The sequence below is a fragment of the Homo sapiens genome, chromosome 1 (genome assembly GCF_000001405.40).
Source record: "Homo sapiens chromosome 1, GRCh38.p14 Primary Assembly".
In the NCBI taxonomy this organism is placed as follows: domain Eukaryota; kingdom Metazoa; phylum Chordata; class Mammalia; order Primates; family Hominidae; genus Homo; species Homo sapiens.
Genome location: NC_000001.11, coordinates 102895680 through 102914617, shown reverse-complemented (window position 1 = coordinate 102914617; position 18938 = coordinate 102895680). Strand labels below are relative to the sequence as shown.

Here is an 18938-nt window from a genome sequence, read left to right as displayed (position 1 = left end):
CTGGAACATAGATGGTAAATCTGACTTTTCATCATTTCATATATTCGTAAGCATTCTCAATTGAATTAATTCTTTAGAAATTTTTTGGCGGGAGAAGAGAAATATTCTCAGCAGGTTTTGTCATGACTTTAACCTCTTCACCTCCAGAATGTCATAATTTTATAAAAATTTATTTTTCATTTATTTCTTTTTCTTTCAAAACGTCATTCTAGGGTCCTGTTGGTTTTCCTGGAGATCCTGGTCCTCCTGGGGAACCTGGCCCTGCAGTAAGTATCAGGGAAAAATCAAGAAATTATTTTGGAGTGAATGTTTCCAATTTCTGTATTGTTAATAAAGAAAAAAAAATCTAATAACCTAAGTGAACTCCCAAAAACAGAAAGAAAAAGAAAACATAAAAAGTAATTGCAAATGCAGGAAAATCCATATAGTTGGAGACTATTGCACCAACACTAAGTGATTAAGCTCTTCATGCAACATAGGTACAACAATTGGATTAGATTCCTAGACTTTGATGGGTTGTAAAAACAAGTTATCTGAGTAGCATCATTATTATTATTTCAAAGTTACAGGATCTTTGCTTTTCTGTTTCTCTTCTATAATGCAAATCCTATTTCAAACTATACCATATTTGTTCATGGTGAAATGATTCACTGACATTGTATACTAATGACATCTTCTTTCTTCCTTATATAAAGAGCATGCTGGATTTTAAATTTGATATATTAATAGTAGCAGTTTTACAAATTTTTTTGCGGAGAGTGAGAGGTACCACAATCTTTTTAAAAAAGGTTAAAAGAATATAATGATTTTACTTGTCCATCTGATAATTTTTCTCAAGAGATGGCCTAACATACTTTTTTCCTGATAAGTAGTGTGATTTATTGATACTGAGATATATCTTGCTTCATATTTTATTGCCTCTTATAGGGTCAAGATGGTGTTGGTGGTGACAAGGGTGAAGATGGAGATCCTGGTCAACCGGTGAGTAAATGCACTAATTTATTTTTAAGTTTTTACATAGTCTCAAGGCATTTTAATGAGATAATTAGAAGTAATCAGCCTTTGAAAAACATAGCTCTATGTATATGCACTTTTTTGAAAGAATTATCAAAAAAATTTTTGAATTCCCATTAAAAATCAATCTTACATGGAGTGTTTCTTATTTGATGTAAATTAATAAACAGTATTTATAATGAAAAGTGTAATCATATTATACTAATAAGGTTGTCACAATATATCAAATTCAGTTATCTATCCATTGTGTTAAAAAATTAAAATCACTAATAATACTAAAAGCAAAGTTATTTCCTATCATTAGCAAAAGTTATTATCCCATCATTAGCATGAATTATATTAATTGTGAACCTAAATGAACTCTCAACATAGTATAGGCCTTTTTAAAAAAAACTTGTGAATGATACAGGAGTGTACTTTGACCACATTTAGTTATTTAGGGAGAAAGTAAGGGAGGGAACTCACTTTAGGAGCCAAAGACAATGGTCCCTCAACACAATTTTGTCTCTGGGGCCATTCCCACTAGATGCTTTGCTATCACAGATACAGGCTTATTCTGCATAGACAGACCTGTGGATCATATCTCAGCATGTGTATTAGTCCATTCTCATACTGCTGTGAGGTACACAAGAATGGGTAATTTATAATGGAAAGAGGTTTAATTGACTCACAATTCTGCATGGCTGGGAAGGCCTCAGGAAACTTACAATATGGTGGAAGGCGAAGCAAGCATGTCTTTCTTCACATGGCAGTAGGAGAGAGGAGTGCAAAGTGAAGGGTGAAAAGCCACTTATTAAACCATCAGATCTCGTGAGAACTCACTCACTATCACAAGAACAGAATGTGAGTAACCACCCCCATCACTCAATTACCTCCCACTGGGTCCCTCTCAGGATACATGGGGATTATAGGAACTACAATTCAAGATGAGATTTGGGTAGGGACACAGCCAAACCATATCAGTATGTTATATACAACTTGGCATAGAATGTTAGTGTTGTACAAAAATAAATTTAAAAGTAATAGTATTATGTTTTCACATATTTATGTGATATGAGCAGAATTATTAACCATATGATTATATTAATTAGCATGCCTGTTTAATGCTTGCCAGATATAAATTAGCACTTTTTAATAGGACACAGTTTTAAATAAAGAGAATTTGATTCACTTTGTTCTAACTATAAATAATTTTACCATCTAAATTTACCAGCTCTAACTATAAATATCTAGAGGAAGTTTAGGTATCTGAAATAGGGCTGAGATTTTCCAGGAAATATTGACATGTGGAAATGAAGAAAGAGGGTTGGTTTCCATCCAGATTTTGAAAATTTATGTGGGCCACAAAATAATATCCAATTTTGTTAAAGGTATTTTTTCACATTTTATAGGGTCCTCCTGGCCCATCTGGTGAGGCTGGCCCACCAGGTCCTCCTGGAAAACGAGTAAGTTTCTTTAATTCTTTATTTGAAACATATGCTCATTAGTCACCATGGATAAATTTATATAATGTGTGTAAGCTGCAGGCAGCATGTTATAAGAATAATGAGAAATATCATAAATCCTAAAAACAATTTTTAAATGTGCCAAATAATAACTAAAATAGAACATATTCTAACTATTTCACTGTCACAATAAAAATGAGAAAAACAACTTCTACTTAAAGAGCTTTCCACTCCTCTGTGCTTAGAACTCCCCTTTGTACAAATGTAGTAGATTATTATAAAAGACTTTGGTGGTATCCTGAACATTAACTCCTATTGTAATACATGGGGATGAGCTGTCAAAAGTCCAGTGCTAGCTTAAAACATTGTAAAAACATGAATGCATCAATGAAATGAGGTGAAATGAGCTCAGGAATCAGTATATAATGTTAAATTGCTTTACACTGTCAAACTTCTCTGGCTCGGAAACAGTATTTTAATGATGTGCTATAGCAAAATATAAATAAATAGGTATTGCTGACAATATTGGCCACAGTAGACCCTAGGAGATTTACTTTCCTGTCCTTTTCTCACTGATGCATTCTTTTCATAATAAAGCAATCTCTGCAGACCTGCCTCTTACAGCAGCTATCTCACTTTAGCGTGTTCTTCTGTACCACCTGCAGTCTATTTTCAAACCGGCACATGAGTAAAATATGTGATAAACATCAAAATATATTTATGAGGCTGATTCCCTCTTCAGTAATCCAAAGTCACAGGGCAATTGGGGCCACTACTGTTTTCTAATGGTATCTTTATTTCAGGGGTATTTTTCACACTGAATATCCTCACATTAAACATAGAATGTGAATGGGTTTTACTTGTCTCTCAGCAATACAAATTTGAATCAATATTTACAAACATTTCTCTTTCCAAAAATATATTTAATTTATAATAAAACTTGTCTCTGAAAACAATTTGCTCTTCATTGGCCAAGTACATTTTCTTACATTTTCTTTTATTATTATTATTGTGTCTACAACCCCAAAGCATGGTCTCAGTGTCAATAGATTTATCCCCAAACAACCATGGGACTATTATTCTTAGAAAGTAATTGGAAAGTGTACATGATTTTTGATATCCATTGCCTCTTTCTGCTGTAAGTCCAGCTGCTCATAAAACTGTGATGCATAGCTGTCTATTATACTATTTCAGACCTTTTGGAAGAATAACTATAAAAAACATCCTTGAGAATGAGTTGAAATACTTCTTGGAACAACAGGAAATCATTTTTTTTATCTTTTTTCTGGCCTCAGATGGTGGGATGCTATATAATGTGGTTAGTAGAACAATGCAGTCACAATAGCTGGCTTTCAACCCAGCTACACCAGTTATTACCTGTATTACGTTGGGCAAATTGTGTATTTTCTGTTTCTCAGAGGACCTAACACCCACCCTAGTGTTGGGTTGAACATAAGATAAATCATGTAACACAATAAAAAAAAAAATCACCTCATAACTGTTGCTGTGTTAGCACTGAGTTATGGCATAGTTATTAAACACTTCTGAGCACAGGGATAATCATCATACAAGTATAAAGTATGATGCTTTTAATATAAGCAAGGAAATTAAACCTTGCTTCAAAATGTGGTAGCAGCTAGAAAAGGAGAGACTATATCAAAATTGATTTTAAATATTCTATTACATATTGGCAGCTTCTCAGCTCATTTCATTACTCAAGTCAAACTCTCAGCAAGTGCTATCTAGTCTAGTTTCATTTTAAAATATGTCAAAAAAGTACATATTTATATTTTTTAATAAATTTAAGTAATTATCATTTGATATTTGAGATGAAGTATCTTAACATGGTAACAGAGTTATAGAATGTATTTGTTTCTTTAGCCATTCAGTGGTGGGTCACATGAATTATTCATTTTGAAAACAACTGAATATTTTTGAAAAATTTTTTAAGTAATAGAATAAAATAACCTATTAAAGAGTATTAATGCAAACATAAAAAAGAGACATATATGTGTGAACCAGTAAATCTCATGAGCCTTTTAGTATAATAATATGACCCAAAACTTATATATAAACCTATAACTATCACATAAAAATATTATATGTTAAAACTATTAAACTGTTGTGTGAAGCTATTTTGACATAATAATGTTGACGCTATTGATATTATAAACTTTCAAAATATTTTCAGTCATATTTACTAATTTTAAAATCATGATAATATAATGCAGCAAATTTTTATTCTTTATTATAACATATTTTTAAAATATATTTGTGTTTATTACTTTGGAATGGATAATGATCGACAATTATAATTTTAGTGAATAACTCAGACTCCTAGGAAGACCTCCCCTCAATTCTGGAATTGAGAAAATATCGTAGAAAATTCAATACATATTCAGATTTAGATTATATATTTGCTCTACAACACCGAAGTAGTTTTGAGTAAGAGAAAGTCCATGTATTTACATTCTTATTCATTTACATCTGAGTTGGACCTCTGCAATTTCTAGTTAAATGAGATATAATTTTAAAACATGAGTTAATTGCTGATTCTTAATTCTTGTCTCTTATAATGAAGGATGCATTTTCATATATTAGAAATAATCAGTTATAATAAAATATAGTAGTATATTAATGAAAATATAATGTACAAAAAAATTTAGTTATTTGTTGCTTTAAGAACATGAAGCATCCTTTTTTAGTACATTTAGTGTTGCTATAAAAGAATACCTGAGGCTGGGTAATTTATAAAGAAAAGAGGTTTATCTAGCTCACAGTTCTGCAGGCTCTACAGGAAGCATGATGCCAACATCTGCTTCTGGTGAGGGCCTCAGGCTGCTCCCACTCATGCTGGAAGGAGAAGCAGAGGGGGTGTGTGCAGTGATAACAAGGTGACAGAGGAAGCAAGAAGGGGCAGCAGAGGTGCCAGGCACTTTTTAACAACCAGCTCTCTCAGGAACTAACAGAGTGAGAAGCCACTCACACCCATCCTGGAAAGGTATTAATCTATTCATAAGAAATCCATCCCCATGACTCAGACACCTCCTATTGGGCTCTACCGCCAAGATTTGGAATAAAATTTCAACATGAGGTTTGGAGGGGAGAAATATCCATATTATAGCAATAATCAATAATTATTTTTTCATCCAAAATTAAAGATTACATGATATTGTGAAATTGTAAGCAATTGGTAAATTTTTCTTTAGATATAAATGTCAAATACAATTAGAAAATAGAAAAATTATGTTACTCTCATTCCTGCCAGTATTTCTAACTAGACAACATTGTTAACTCCCCTGATTAAAATGTATTTAAAAACCCTTAAAAAAATAAAATTATGGTTAAGTGGATTTATGAGGTGGGTAAAAAATAAGAAATTAAGATAATTTACTTGCAAAGTTATACTTGATTTTTTTATATAGATATATAGGCAATGGTCTCATTGAAGAAAAAGACCAGAAAATACCTAAGGGTATATGTAAACCTTATTTGTAACAAATTGGACATTACACATCAATGGAAAGTGGATAGACTATTGAAAAAATTCTGCTGGGAGAAATGATTTTCTATATGGAAAAAGATTAAATATACCTCATCTAGCTCATTTAACAGAATTCAGTTCTAATTGATTTATAATCATAAATGTCAAAGGTAAACTTTGAAATATTTTACCAAAAATTATTTGAGAGTAATTTTTTGACCTCCAGTCATAAATTCTGATCACACAGGTGTAATCAGAAAGGAATAGATTGATGTATCAAATATATGACCATTGAAATTTCCTATTTATCCAAAAATACTTAGAAGACATTGGAACAAAAAGATCCGATTAGGAGAAAATATTTGTAACATACAGGAAACATGCATAGAATAATTTGTTAGAATATCTAAGTATTTCTTACAAATTATAATAGCAAGAAAAAACAATAGAAAAAAATATGCCAAAGGCATGAAAAAGTATTTGACACAAATACCCCATGAAACAAGAAAAAATATTTGTAGAAATCAGGAAAGTGTGTACCAGAAATTACACTGAGATACTATATCACATACACCAATTAACAAAAATGTACTCTGACAAACCAAGTATTGGGAAGAATGTTTTCAAAAAACAGTGAAGATTATTATGCATGGCTGTTTTGAGTTACTGGGCACTGCCACTTTAGGGAAATAGTTCTATGTTACCTAATAGAATCTAACATGAACTTTTTCTGTCATCTGGTAATTCCATTTCTAAGCACATATCCTAGATGACATTTTGCACATATCCACCAAAAGACTCAAGGAATAATGTTTTGTTATCCTTGTTAATAATAACTGTAGACAATATAAGTTAATTGAAGTATATTAATAAACTAAAATTTTGTATGCTAATAAAATAAATGCACTACAGATGCATGCATAACAGATGAATCTCAAAATCTAATATTAAACATTAAGCAGAATAAATATGTGTATGTGTATATGTATGTCTTGTGTGTGTATGTGTATATAACGTTGAACTGGAAAATATATATTACATTATTTCATTTATATAATATGCAGAATTGTTACAGATATGTTTAGCATTTTAACATAAGTGGTAAACATGATAAAGAAACATAAGCCAATGATTAACAAAAATTTAGGATGGTAGTTACTTCTGTGGAAAAAAAGTGGGTTGCAATTGTTACGAGTGGTATGTAGGAAGCTTCTAAGTTAATGATACTGTATTATGTAGTGCATTTAGGTTGAAAGCCTAAAATAATATAATATTGAGTCATTCTAGCATATGTTCTTTAACATTATGAGATAGTACATTAGTTGAGTTCCCTTTGATTTTTGATAAATTATTTTAAAATAACCTCATAAAAATTTTAGCACTGTTCTATCCTCTCTTTTTAAATTACAATTTATAGAAAGATGATGAGCTATTTTAATCCATTCTAGTCACTTTGTAAACAAAATTAGAAGGCTTTGTATTCATGAATTAATAATAACATGAGAACGGTGGTGACTATGCATTGCTTACAAAGCTATTCACATTCATTTTCATATAATAGAAAAATCAACCTTAGGTCAGCCCGATCGAGCATAATATGCAGGGTTTTCTCTTTTAAAATATGGCAACAATAAATTGAAACTGAAAACCATTTAACACAATATGTTAAATTGTTTTCTATATTAGGTTTGGATAAACTGGCATGCTTAATTGCTTCTTTCTGTTTTACATAATAATCTATTTTCTTCACCAGAGTAAAATATATTTTAATGGTGTGAAAAATTACTCTTATGTCAACAATCTTATTACCAAAACTATGATTTGTTCTGATTTAACACTAGCAATTAATGCTTGCACCATTAATTTACAGCCTACAGCACTAGTTAATTTAGTCAATAACTCTACCTCAACATAAACAAATAGGTGGCTTAGCTTGAAAAAAGAAAAAGAAAAAGAAAAAAAAAATGGAAACACAGGTCAAGTGCAGTGGCTGACACCTGTAATCCCAGCACTTTCAGAGACTTAGGCAGGAGTATTGCTTAAGCCCAGGACTTTGAGACAACATAGTGAGACCCTCATCTTCACAGAAACTTTTAAAAATTACCCAGGTGTGGTGGCACATGCCTGTAGTCCCAGCTACTTGGGAGGCTGAGGTGGGAGGATTGCATGAGCCTGGGAGGTCCAGGCTGCAGTGAGTCATGATTGTTCTACTGTACTCCAATCTGAACAACAGAGGGAGACCCTCTCTCAAGAAAACAAAAAGTAAACCCAAAAATTGAAGCCCAAATTACTTACTAACATTATTTGCAACCTATAAACTGACACTCCTTTTATCTTAATTTCACTGAAAAGTAGAGACCAGAATGCTGTTGCATCAGAATCAGACAGAACTTGTTTCAAATCCTTGCTACTTAAAAATGTGACTTGGGATAAGTTAATTTATTTGAGTCTCAGTTTTCTCATTTAAAAAGCAGGCATAATAACTAATTTACAATACTGAAGTGAGGACTAAATTAAGAAAATGTATATTTAAAGCACAAAGCCTAATGCCTGAATCTATCAGAATCTCAAACAGTGGATGTTATTATTAAGCATTGAATAAGGGTTTCCAATTGTAGTATCATTTATAAACTAAATAAACCTATTATTAAATAAAATATAAAATAAGGAGTAAAATATTTTCTTCCAATATCCTAGTTGTATACATGAAATGATAGCTCGTTAGCAATAAATTCATGGTAAAGTTAGTTTTGTTTATTGTTGATTTTGCTTTGTTGTTTGAGTTCAGCAGTGACCAATACTGAACTAACTGGGTGATACACATACAAAAAGGATATAGAATATTAATTAACTGCACTTTCAGAGTATAGTATATTGTGATTTTAAGGAAATTTATATTTGTAATACTAATATAAATTGGTTATCCCTTGGTACAAATTCATGTGACATATATGGTAAAGAATTTCCTATGAGAACAATTACCAAAAATAGAAGCATTTAAACTCATGACAACTTCATGTATATTTTAATAAAATGGATTTGTCAAACAGTAGATATTTAAGACCAGTTTAAGAAATAATAAAGTTATTAAACTATGAGTCAACTGAGAAAGAGGTATTTGGTCACACCCACGATCCCAGCACTTTTTTTTTTTTTTTTAACTTATATGGGTGCTTTAGCAACTCAGGGTACAAATAAAGGCACCACTAATTTTCCTTCCTCCCTCCCTCCTTCTTTTCTTCCTTTCTTCCTTCCTTCCTTTCTCTCTCTTTCCTTTTTTTTTAATTTTTATTTTATTATTATTATACTTTAAGTTTTAGGGTACATGTGCACAACCTGTAGGTTTGTTACATATGTATACATGTGCCATGTTGGTGTGCTGCACCCAGTAACTCGTCATTTAGCATTAGGTATATCTCCTAATGCTATCCCTCCCCCCTCCCCCCACCCCACAACAGTCCCTGGTGTGTGATGTTCCCTTTCCTGTGTCCATGTGTTCTCATTGTTCAGTTCCCACCTATGAGTGAGAACATGCGGTGTTTGGTTTTTTGTCCTTGCGATAGTTTGCTGAGAATGATGGTTTCCAGTTTCATCCATGTCCCTACAAAGGACATGAACTCATCATTTTTTATGGCTGCATAGTATTCCATGGTGTATATGTACCACATTTTCTTAATCCAGTCTATTGTTGTCAGACATTTAGGTTGGTTCCAAGTCTTTGCTATTGTGAATAGTGCCGCTATAAACATATGTGTGCATGTGTCTATAGCAGCATGATTTATAATCCTTTGGGTATATACCCAGTAATGGGATGGCTGGGTCAAATGGTATTTCTAGTTCTAGATCCCTGAGGAATTGCCACACCGACTTCCACAATGGTTGAACTAGTTTACAGTCCCACCAACAGTGTAAAAGTGTTCCTATTTCTCCACATCCTCTCCAGCACCTGTTGTTTCCTGACTTTTTAATGATCACCATTCTAACTGGTGTGAGATGGTATCTCATTGTGGTTTTGATTTGCATTTCTCTGATGGCCAGTGATGATGAGCATTTTTTCATGTGTTTTTTGGCTGCATAAATATCTTCTTTTGAGAACTGTCTGTTCATATCCTTCACCCACTTTTTGATGGGGTTGTTTGTTTTTTTCTTGTAAATTTGTTTGAGTTCATTGTAGATTCTGGATATTAGCCCTTTGTCAGATAAGTAGGTTGCAAAAATTTTCTCCCATTCTGTAGGTTGCCTGTTCACTCTGATGGTAGTTTCTTTTGCTGTGCAGAATCTCTTTAGTTTAATTAGATCCCATTTGTCAATTTTGGCTTTTGTTGCCATTGCTTTTGGTGTTTTAGACATGAAGTCCTTGCCCATGCCTATGTCCTGAATAGTATTGCCTAGGTTTTCTTCTGTGGTTTATATGGTTTTAGGTCTAACATTTAAGTCTTTAATCCATCTTGAATTAATTTTTGTATAAAACTGGCTAGCCATATGTAGAAAGCTAAAACTGGATCCCTTCCTTACACCTTATACAAAATTTAATTCAAGATCCCAGCACTTTGAGAGGCTGAAGCAAGAGGATCACTTGAGCTCAGGAGTAGGAGATCAGCCTGGGCAACATGGTGAAACCCTGTCTCTACAAAAAAATACAAAAATTAGTCAGGTATGATGACATGAGCCTGTAGTCCTAGGTACTCTGAGGCTGAGGTGGGAGAATAGCTTGAGCCCAGGAGTTCGAGGCTGCAGTGAGCCAAGATAGCACCACTGCTGTCCAGCCTGAGCAACTGAGTGAGACCCTGTGTCGAAAAGAAGAAAGTACTGTACATAAGTGAGATCACTCTGTTTATACACTGTACATATGTGAGGTCACTTTGTCTATACCACAGGTGAACACAAACATCTAATCATAGAGGGGTATAATGCAGAGTGAATTCTATGAATTGAAACTGATTTGAGAATACTGTCACCACAAACCTTTGAGTTCAATATCTGATGCAGCAATCAATTTAATACCACTTTTGTGAAAATAGCAAGAGCATATTTCTATGCAGTAAGGTAATATCTGTTCTACAGGCTTGTGCTTTGGTTGAATACAGATTTGCCTTACAATCTGTTTCCCTTTAGTCCATCTAGAAATGTTAATCTTAAATTAGGTTTGTATATATTTTGTGGAAATTAACATTTCTCAGATCCTTACTTTCCCACTGTGGAAACAATAAAAAAGCCACAATTTTTTTTATAATATCTTATGGCGGAAGTAGCAATGACAAGAAATGTGTTCAAAAGTATTACCACTTTTTTTCTGTGATTGAATCTTACGCATGAATGATAATAAAACTTCCTAACAGAATATTGATCATAATGTTGTAAGTGGCAGTGATACTGAGAAAGAAAATTCTAGTGGTTATTAAACAAGTAGGAGAATTACATTATCATTCATAGTACATGTACTTTCTGTCATGCATTTGTAATACTTGAGAATGAATGTATATTTCCTTAAGGGACTGGAAGATTTGTACAGCTTGTTTCAATAAGCCATGGACTTCTAATACTAAAGTTATCATTTTAGCTAGTTCCATGTCCTTTTACTGAAAAAAAAATCTAGAGCTGACCAAAATAATTTAAGCATTATAACCTGAAAATGCACATATTAAATGGAAATTTGAATTCGGCTCATATTGCCAAAGGGAAGTTCACAATAAAAAATTAAAATGGTAACTGTTGTTATTAACTGGTTATAATGACAGATGAAGTTTTAACTTATTATGCACACACACATCATATATATAATATAGTATATATATATGTGTGTGTACCTTGTATATGCATGTACTATGTGTGTGTATATATATATATGCACACACATATAAAGTATTATTATATATAGTATTAATTCAAATTTCAAATTCAGACATTTTCTTTTACAAAGTCCTTTGAAAAATTCTAATATAAATGTATAGATAGAAAGTACATTGTAATAATAAAATAAATTATAAATCCTCTTAAAATTTCTGTGTGGTACAAAACTGTGCCTTCCAAGTAAGGTCATTATGAAAACAAGGTCTGCATTTAATTTGAGAATCACTGAAGAGATTATATACCTTTCTAGGAGATTCATAGTTCAAGAAGAGTATTAAAGGTTCTAAAAATTTTGAATCAAATTTATTTATTTTTAAGCTATTTTAAATATTAATGTTTTTAATACTTTTGGGAAAATTGTTCTAATTTTTTAATGTGGGGAAACAAAAATTCTTGTTCATTTAACATGTTCAAAAATGTCTGTTTATCCAAATAGCTAACTGTATACTAAATTTGGCAGTTTATTTTGCTAATATTAAAAAATCAAGATCTCCATATGCCAAGACTCTGCCTTTCTCCAATTCTCTTTTTTCCTCCCTAACTCTCAAGTCACCACATACTCATGCACCCTAATATTCTGACTCATAGCAAGACAAATGCATAGATGCTTAGCTACTGGCCTAAGTGAACTCTTAACAGGTCCATAGAGACTATCATGTACTTTCCATTCTTATTCCTTTAAGCATGCACGTGAGTGATCAGAAGGTAAAGTGTTAGAAGAAGCCATCCCTCTCTCATCAACTCACACTGTAAGATTCAGATCAGAGACTAGGTTTTTAGGAAAATCCTCTATACTGCCAAACTGGATCATTGTACCTATTTTGTACACTGATATCATCTTTGTTTATTTTACAGTGTTCTATTTGTTAATTTTTGTATCTGTGTTTGTGACTAAATTCTGTGAATTTCTTAGGGATTTGATTTTACATGTTATGTATATGCATAGCACATTCTGGAATATAAGGGATATTTAAATGTTTGTGACATGAGTGGAAAAATGATTAAATTACAGAATCATACTGTAAAACTTGAATAGTGAAAAGAAGATTATATTAGATGCTTTATATGAAGAATAGTTCTCTTGAGTAGAAAAATCTGTTATAACAATAACTACTGGTGGAGAATTAACTAGGCCCTATTTTAGTGGGTTATGTTTTTATGAGGTATTTTTCAATAAGAACACTCATTACTTCATCAAAGTGCAGCAAGAGCTCACCAGATTAAGTTTCTGCCCCTTCGTTTATGCAAACATATGAGGAATAAGTTATTGGGACAACAATTTGTCCGTAGGCATTCTTTGTTTTGTACTACTATAACAGAATAACACAGACTCTGTAATGTATAATAAGCACAGATTTATTGGCTGAAGGATGGGACATCCAAGATTGAGTGGCCACATTTTGCAAGGGCCTTGTTGCAGTGTCATACCATGGTGGAAGGACAAGGAGCAGACTTGAAAGAGCAAGACATCAAATTCACAGCCTCAGTTTTTTTTTTTTTTTTTTAGACAGAGTTTTGCTTTTATTTCCCAGGCTGGAGCACAATCGTGCAATCTCGGCTCACTGCAAGTTCTGCCTCCCGGGTTCAAGCGATTCTCCTGCCTCAGCCTCCCGAGTAGCTGGGATTACAGGTGCCCACCACCACGCCCAGCTAATTTTTTGTATTTTTAGTAGAGACGGGTTTCACTGTGTTGGCCCAGCTGGTCTCGAACTCCTGGCCTGAGGCGATCCGCCTGCCTTGGTCTCCCAAAATGCTGGGATTACAGGAATGAACTGCTGTGCCTGGCTGCCTCAGCCCTTTTATATTTATTATTAATCAATTCATGAGCCCTCATGACCTTAACACCTTCTATTAGGTCCCACTTGACTTACTACTCTCTCAGGAAAAGTATATCTGCTTTTGTCGTCATTTTTCTTATTTTTTTGTCATCTGGAAAACATATAAGGAATAAATAAAATTGGGAAAAATGAGAAAAAGAACAGAACAAAGTCATTTAATAAAATTTTTACTATGACAGATATTTGTTCACAGAAGGAAGAAATTATTTAGACAAGAAGCCCTTTATTTTAATCACAACTTAGTTGCTGTATTGTCATTTAGTTATGTTAAAATTCTCTGGGCTCTTCTAATACTGATTTTCTTTCTCCTTTGAAGTAAAGGTGATATTTTCCTTCCAATTTTAGACAATAGATGGCTTGCTTTTTTAAAAGCCATGTATTGATATATCTTTTCTACTATAAACTTCATGTTTGTAAATGCAATCTTTTCAGGTTAAGCCCACATATCATTATGTTACTAGTTTAAGGAAAAACTGTCATTGAATAAGGAAAAGCTATTATTTCATTGAATGTCATTATTTCTATTTCCCAAATAATAATCATTATTATTGTTGTATCTACTTTGCATATGTTATTATTTTAAAGATCACACCAAAATAATTTCTGGCTCAACATTTTAACAATAGAACAAATTTGAAATTCATGGCTCAACACAGAATTCCTTTTGCTTAAATATGAAATTTGAAAGATGTCCTTTGAAGTTTTAATGTATATATTATTATTAGCATATTGATTCCACCTCAAGAGATTACCCATAGAATTTATACATTTTTTATCTTTGGGTTGAGGTACAATGAATGTCTAATAATAGATAGTTATAGGAATGATATTGAGAAAATCATTACTAATGATGTCATCATTGACTCTTTCTGAGATAAAATGAGTTCGTGGAATTGAAGTGCTTGATACTCATTTTATTCATCTTTACTTTGTGTATAAATTCATGGGGTACACGTGCAATTTTGCTATACTGATATTACATTGTGATGAAGTCTGGGCCTTCAGTGCATCCATCACTGAAGCAATGCACGTTGTACCCTCCAAGCAACCTCTCATCATCCACCACTATTGATACTCAGTTTAAAATACGATATAAAAGGCTGGGATATATTCACCATTAAAATATTAATATGGCATCTGAAAAGGAACAGTCACCCTCCTGCCTCACCTTATTCTCACCAATTAACACCACCATGACTACTCTCTGCAACCACCAACCCCAATCTCAGTTAATGATTTTGAGCACAATTTATTATGAAAATTAAGGTAAATGAATGGAAAAACAAGACAGTCTGAGGGAAAAAAATGAAAAGCAGTTTCTTAGAGATCATTAAGTTTCTTTTTCAGTCATTCTGTACTTATGCTTTTGGATGGCATCTAAAGTGTAATTTTTTTTTCAATTTTACTTCTAATATTAGGATTTAAAAAGTGATATTTGCTTTCATTTTACCTATTTATGTGAACTGCATAGTTCTCAAAAATGAAAATACTGTGTCTGTTGACCATCATAATTTAAAATATTGTGTTTCTTTAGTTGTTATGTGATCCTGTAAGAATGCATGAACATATACATATTCTAAGATTAAGGAAGGGGCCATTCTTAAAACACATATGAGAATAAAAGTAGAATACAAGTAGATATATTAAATTAATTTCTAATAATAAACATAAATGATATATCAGTATTTAACACACTCAGGGTGGCGATTTTAATTCATCAGCATTTCTTTAAAAACTTTATTTTTACTGCTTTCTTATATTGATGTGAAGTGATTGTTGTATACTTAATTTGTGCTGTTTTTCAGTATTCTAAGAGGAAGTTTGTACATAAAATGGGTTTTGATTTTCGTTATTATGTTTTAAACCAAATAGTGATAGAAAACTACAATTTATTCATCTGTTACAAACTAAAGTTTAGTGTTTGTAAACAAGTGCTCATTAACATTACTTTTATATGTGATACATATTTTACAATAAATCTTATGTCTATAGGGTCCTCCTGGAGCTGCAGGTGCAGAGGGAAGACAAGGTGAAAAAGGTGCTAAGGTAAAAAAAAAATAATATATACATAATATATATTATATATTATATATACAAGGTATTATATTTGAAAATTTCATGCATAAACTGATCTACTTTTTTCAGTGCATTTAATAAAATAATAAAAGTATTTTCTCATCACTAATGTGCTCCCATATTTTACTTTCTAACAGGGGGAAGCAGGTGCAGAAGGTCCTCCTGGAAAAACCGGCCCAGTCGGTCCTCAGGGACCTGCAGGAAAGCCTGGTCCAGAAGGTCTTCGGGGCATCCCTGGTCCTGTGGTGAGCATCTGTGTTAAAAAGATGCCATTTTGAAAATAACATTTTTATTTTAAAAAAATTTTGAATGAAGGTGTCTATGTTAGCATTATTTCATAAGTTATAACGTGGATAATTTTGTGGGAATTCTGTAAATATAATGTAAAAAAGATATTCTTCATATATTTAAGTATATCATTTATTTAATAAGTTCATGGTGAAACACTAACTTATAAAGAGAAAATAGAAAACCAAATTTTAAAATTTCAATGATGTGAAATGTTTATATATAACCTATGTATATGTATATATAGGTGTGTATTTGAATATAGACATATACACATATTAAAGACACAAAATTATTTACAATATTTGTAGATGTCCTCCATATGGTGGAACTTAAGGGTGATATTTCCTTTGTTTTCTTATTGTATTTCTAAAATTTAAAATAAATAAATAAATATGTATTATTTTATTAATTTTAAAAATCAATCATTTTTATTTTCTCTAGGGAGAACAAGGTCTCCCTGGAGCTGCAGGCCAAGATGGACCACCTGGTCCTATGGTGAGTAAGATCTTTTCAGTCATTTAAAAAGTGAGAATTTCTAAAACAAAATTGTTTATTAGCTAGAATTTTTGACATTTTAGTTTATAAATAGGTTTGTATTTTTTCTAATAGTCCAAGAAGTATATTATTTTGTCTTAGAGGAAAGTAATCCTAACTGATAGGTATATGGAAAATAAACCACTTGATCAGAAGATTTGTTTCTTTCTTATGCACTTTGGATGAAAAAATATTTCCACTCTGAATGAAATGCCACTAATGATCCAGCCAGTGTTTTTCCTAGTCTGGATAGTTCCCTAAAACGTTTGCAGTTACACTTATTTTCCTGGCATTTCACTTTAAAAAGTATGCTGGCACCAGCATAGAGTGATTCTTTGACGAAACAAATTGTTCTCTTCGTGAGTCATACAGGCTGAAACATAAAACAGTAAAACTCAGTGAAAAAAGATATGGCTACTGTAACACTGAAGCTTGGTCACTATCATTAAATCTGTGTGCAAACAACATGCTTGAGAAATGCAATAAAGTATTTTGTTGACTGGGATACTATTCATAGGTGGAGTTTATTATAGGATCTGAGGCTATACTTGATACAAATTTGGGCAAAAAGTGAGAATAAAAGACTTGCCCTTTAAAATAATTCCTTACTAGGTGACTTAGTTGCTTTATATATATATATATTTTTTTTTCTTATGGTAGAGATTTTTGAGTGTCATTATCCAGTAATAGTTAAGTGTGGAGTGATTAATCAAAATGGCAAATCATACATATAGCACTCGTATGTGTGGTGAGTATTAGTTAAGTCCTGCTATATGGTATTTTAAAATTTATTCAAATGCCTTTTATCATAAATATATTAATTATCTCAGAGATAGAAACATACGCACAAAGCCATCACAACTGGGATTCACAGTTCATTCAGGAAAAATTTTGGTTATTCCTTTTAACAAAGATGCCACAGCATCTTTGGTATGCAAAGCATACCTACCAAATATTTCATAAGTTTTAAAGAGATTATTTAAACTTTCACTGAAGAATTTAAAGATCACTTATTTAGTAACTAGATAAAAGTTATCAAATTTTGGTAGATTTCAAGCAGGAGATGATCAGTTCTGCCCATTATCTCATCAGCTTAGGAAAAGGGCCCCGGTTGAAGCAGGATCAGCTCCACATCTGTACCATTACTTATGAATATTCTCCTTAGATATGATAAACTCATAACTGCCCAGAGTCAGAGCCTGGAAGGAAAAAATACCTTGCCTTAATGTCACTCTAAAATTTGCCAGAGATTTTTTCTTGTTATTTCAGATTTTCCGGTAAATATTTTGACCTTTCTGCAGATGAAATAAAAAGCACCATGCTGGAGATTTCCTTCAGCTAATATTAAAAATAAAACCTTCTGACATACCACCTGATTTGGCATACAAACTTTTGTATTTTTGTCTTTTAAATAAATGTGAGTTTACAGCGCAAGAGGACAGAATAATTTCCAAATCCTTTAGGTAAAGCGGAATGATAAACATCAGAAGTGGGCTGCATGGGCACATTCCATTCTGACTGCTTGTTTTATGGCGAGTACTTACGATGTGAATATAATGTGTAGTTTTTTCATAGCTTTAATTAGTCTTGACTTGTGATATGTAATCTCAATGAAAATGCTACTTGGTCTTCATGAGGTGAGGATGGGCAGATAAATCATCTTCAAAATGCCATTTATGGCAATTTAATGAGCCTTTCAACTCAACTAAGAAAGATCTATTTTAGTAGGTAATTTTTAAATCAGAATGAGAAGTAACTTATTATGGTTACTAGTTAAGGTTATCGACTCTAGAGCCAAACTCCTGGGTTCAGAAACAATCACTACCACTTACTTGGTGGATGACTTTAGGAACATTACCTTTTTTTTTTTTTTGGCTTTAAGTTCTTCATTTATAAAATGGGAATATTGCTAGCCTCTATCCAGTGATATTTCTAAAGTTTAAGTGAGTTCAATTGGGATATGGATATCTTCTACCCCATGGGGTTCTTAAGTTAATTAAATGAATTGCTTGTAAATCACTTTTATATCAACAATTAGCACTAGTAGCACCAAATCAAGAATCATTAAATGAATGAAATAATGATAAATATGTTGAAAACCAATCAATTTTATATTCTTAGTGGAAAGTAACTAAATTTGACCTCATTCATGCATGTGTGTCATCAATAAACCTTATGCAAGTTGTTGACTATTAAAGCAAATGGAAGAGATCAACAAGTACAATTATACTTAGAAAAGTTAGAGTGTTAACATGTTAAGTACTATGATAGACTCAAGCAGAGGATACTAGATATACACAGAGTTGGACCATTTAAATGTAATTTCCTCTAGGGACCCTTCCCTGTTTAGAAATATGATACGATTATTAAAGAAGGAACAGAGAGGTGTAAGTGTGGATAACACAG

General features: G+C 32.3%; 1 protein-coding gene across 9 annotated transcripts in view; it reads left to right on the top strand.

Annotated features, from left to right (window-relative positions):
- Window positions 1-18938, top strand: part of COL11A1 (collagen type XI alpha 1 chain) — a 232050-nt gene that overhangs the window by 193905 nt on the left and 19207 nt on the right. For all 9 annotated transcript variants that reach the window (NR_134980.2, NM_001190709.2, NM_080629.3 and 6 more), the window contains 6 exons: window positions 213-266; window positions 928-981; window positions 2406-2459; window positions 15624-15677; window positions 15845-15952; window positions 16440-16493. Coding sequence is in view for 8 of the 9 variants with exons in the window: in NM_001190709.2 (NP_001177638.1) it covers window positions 213-266; window positions 928-981; window positions 2406-2459; window positions 15624-15677; window positions 15845-15952; window positions 16440-16493 (378 nt within the window). In the remaining variant the exon portion in view is untranslated. The remainder of the gene's footprint in view (window positions 1-212; window positions 267-927; window positions 982-2405; window positions 2460-15623; window positions 15678-15844; window positions 15953-16439; window positions 16494-18938) is intronic.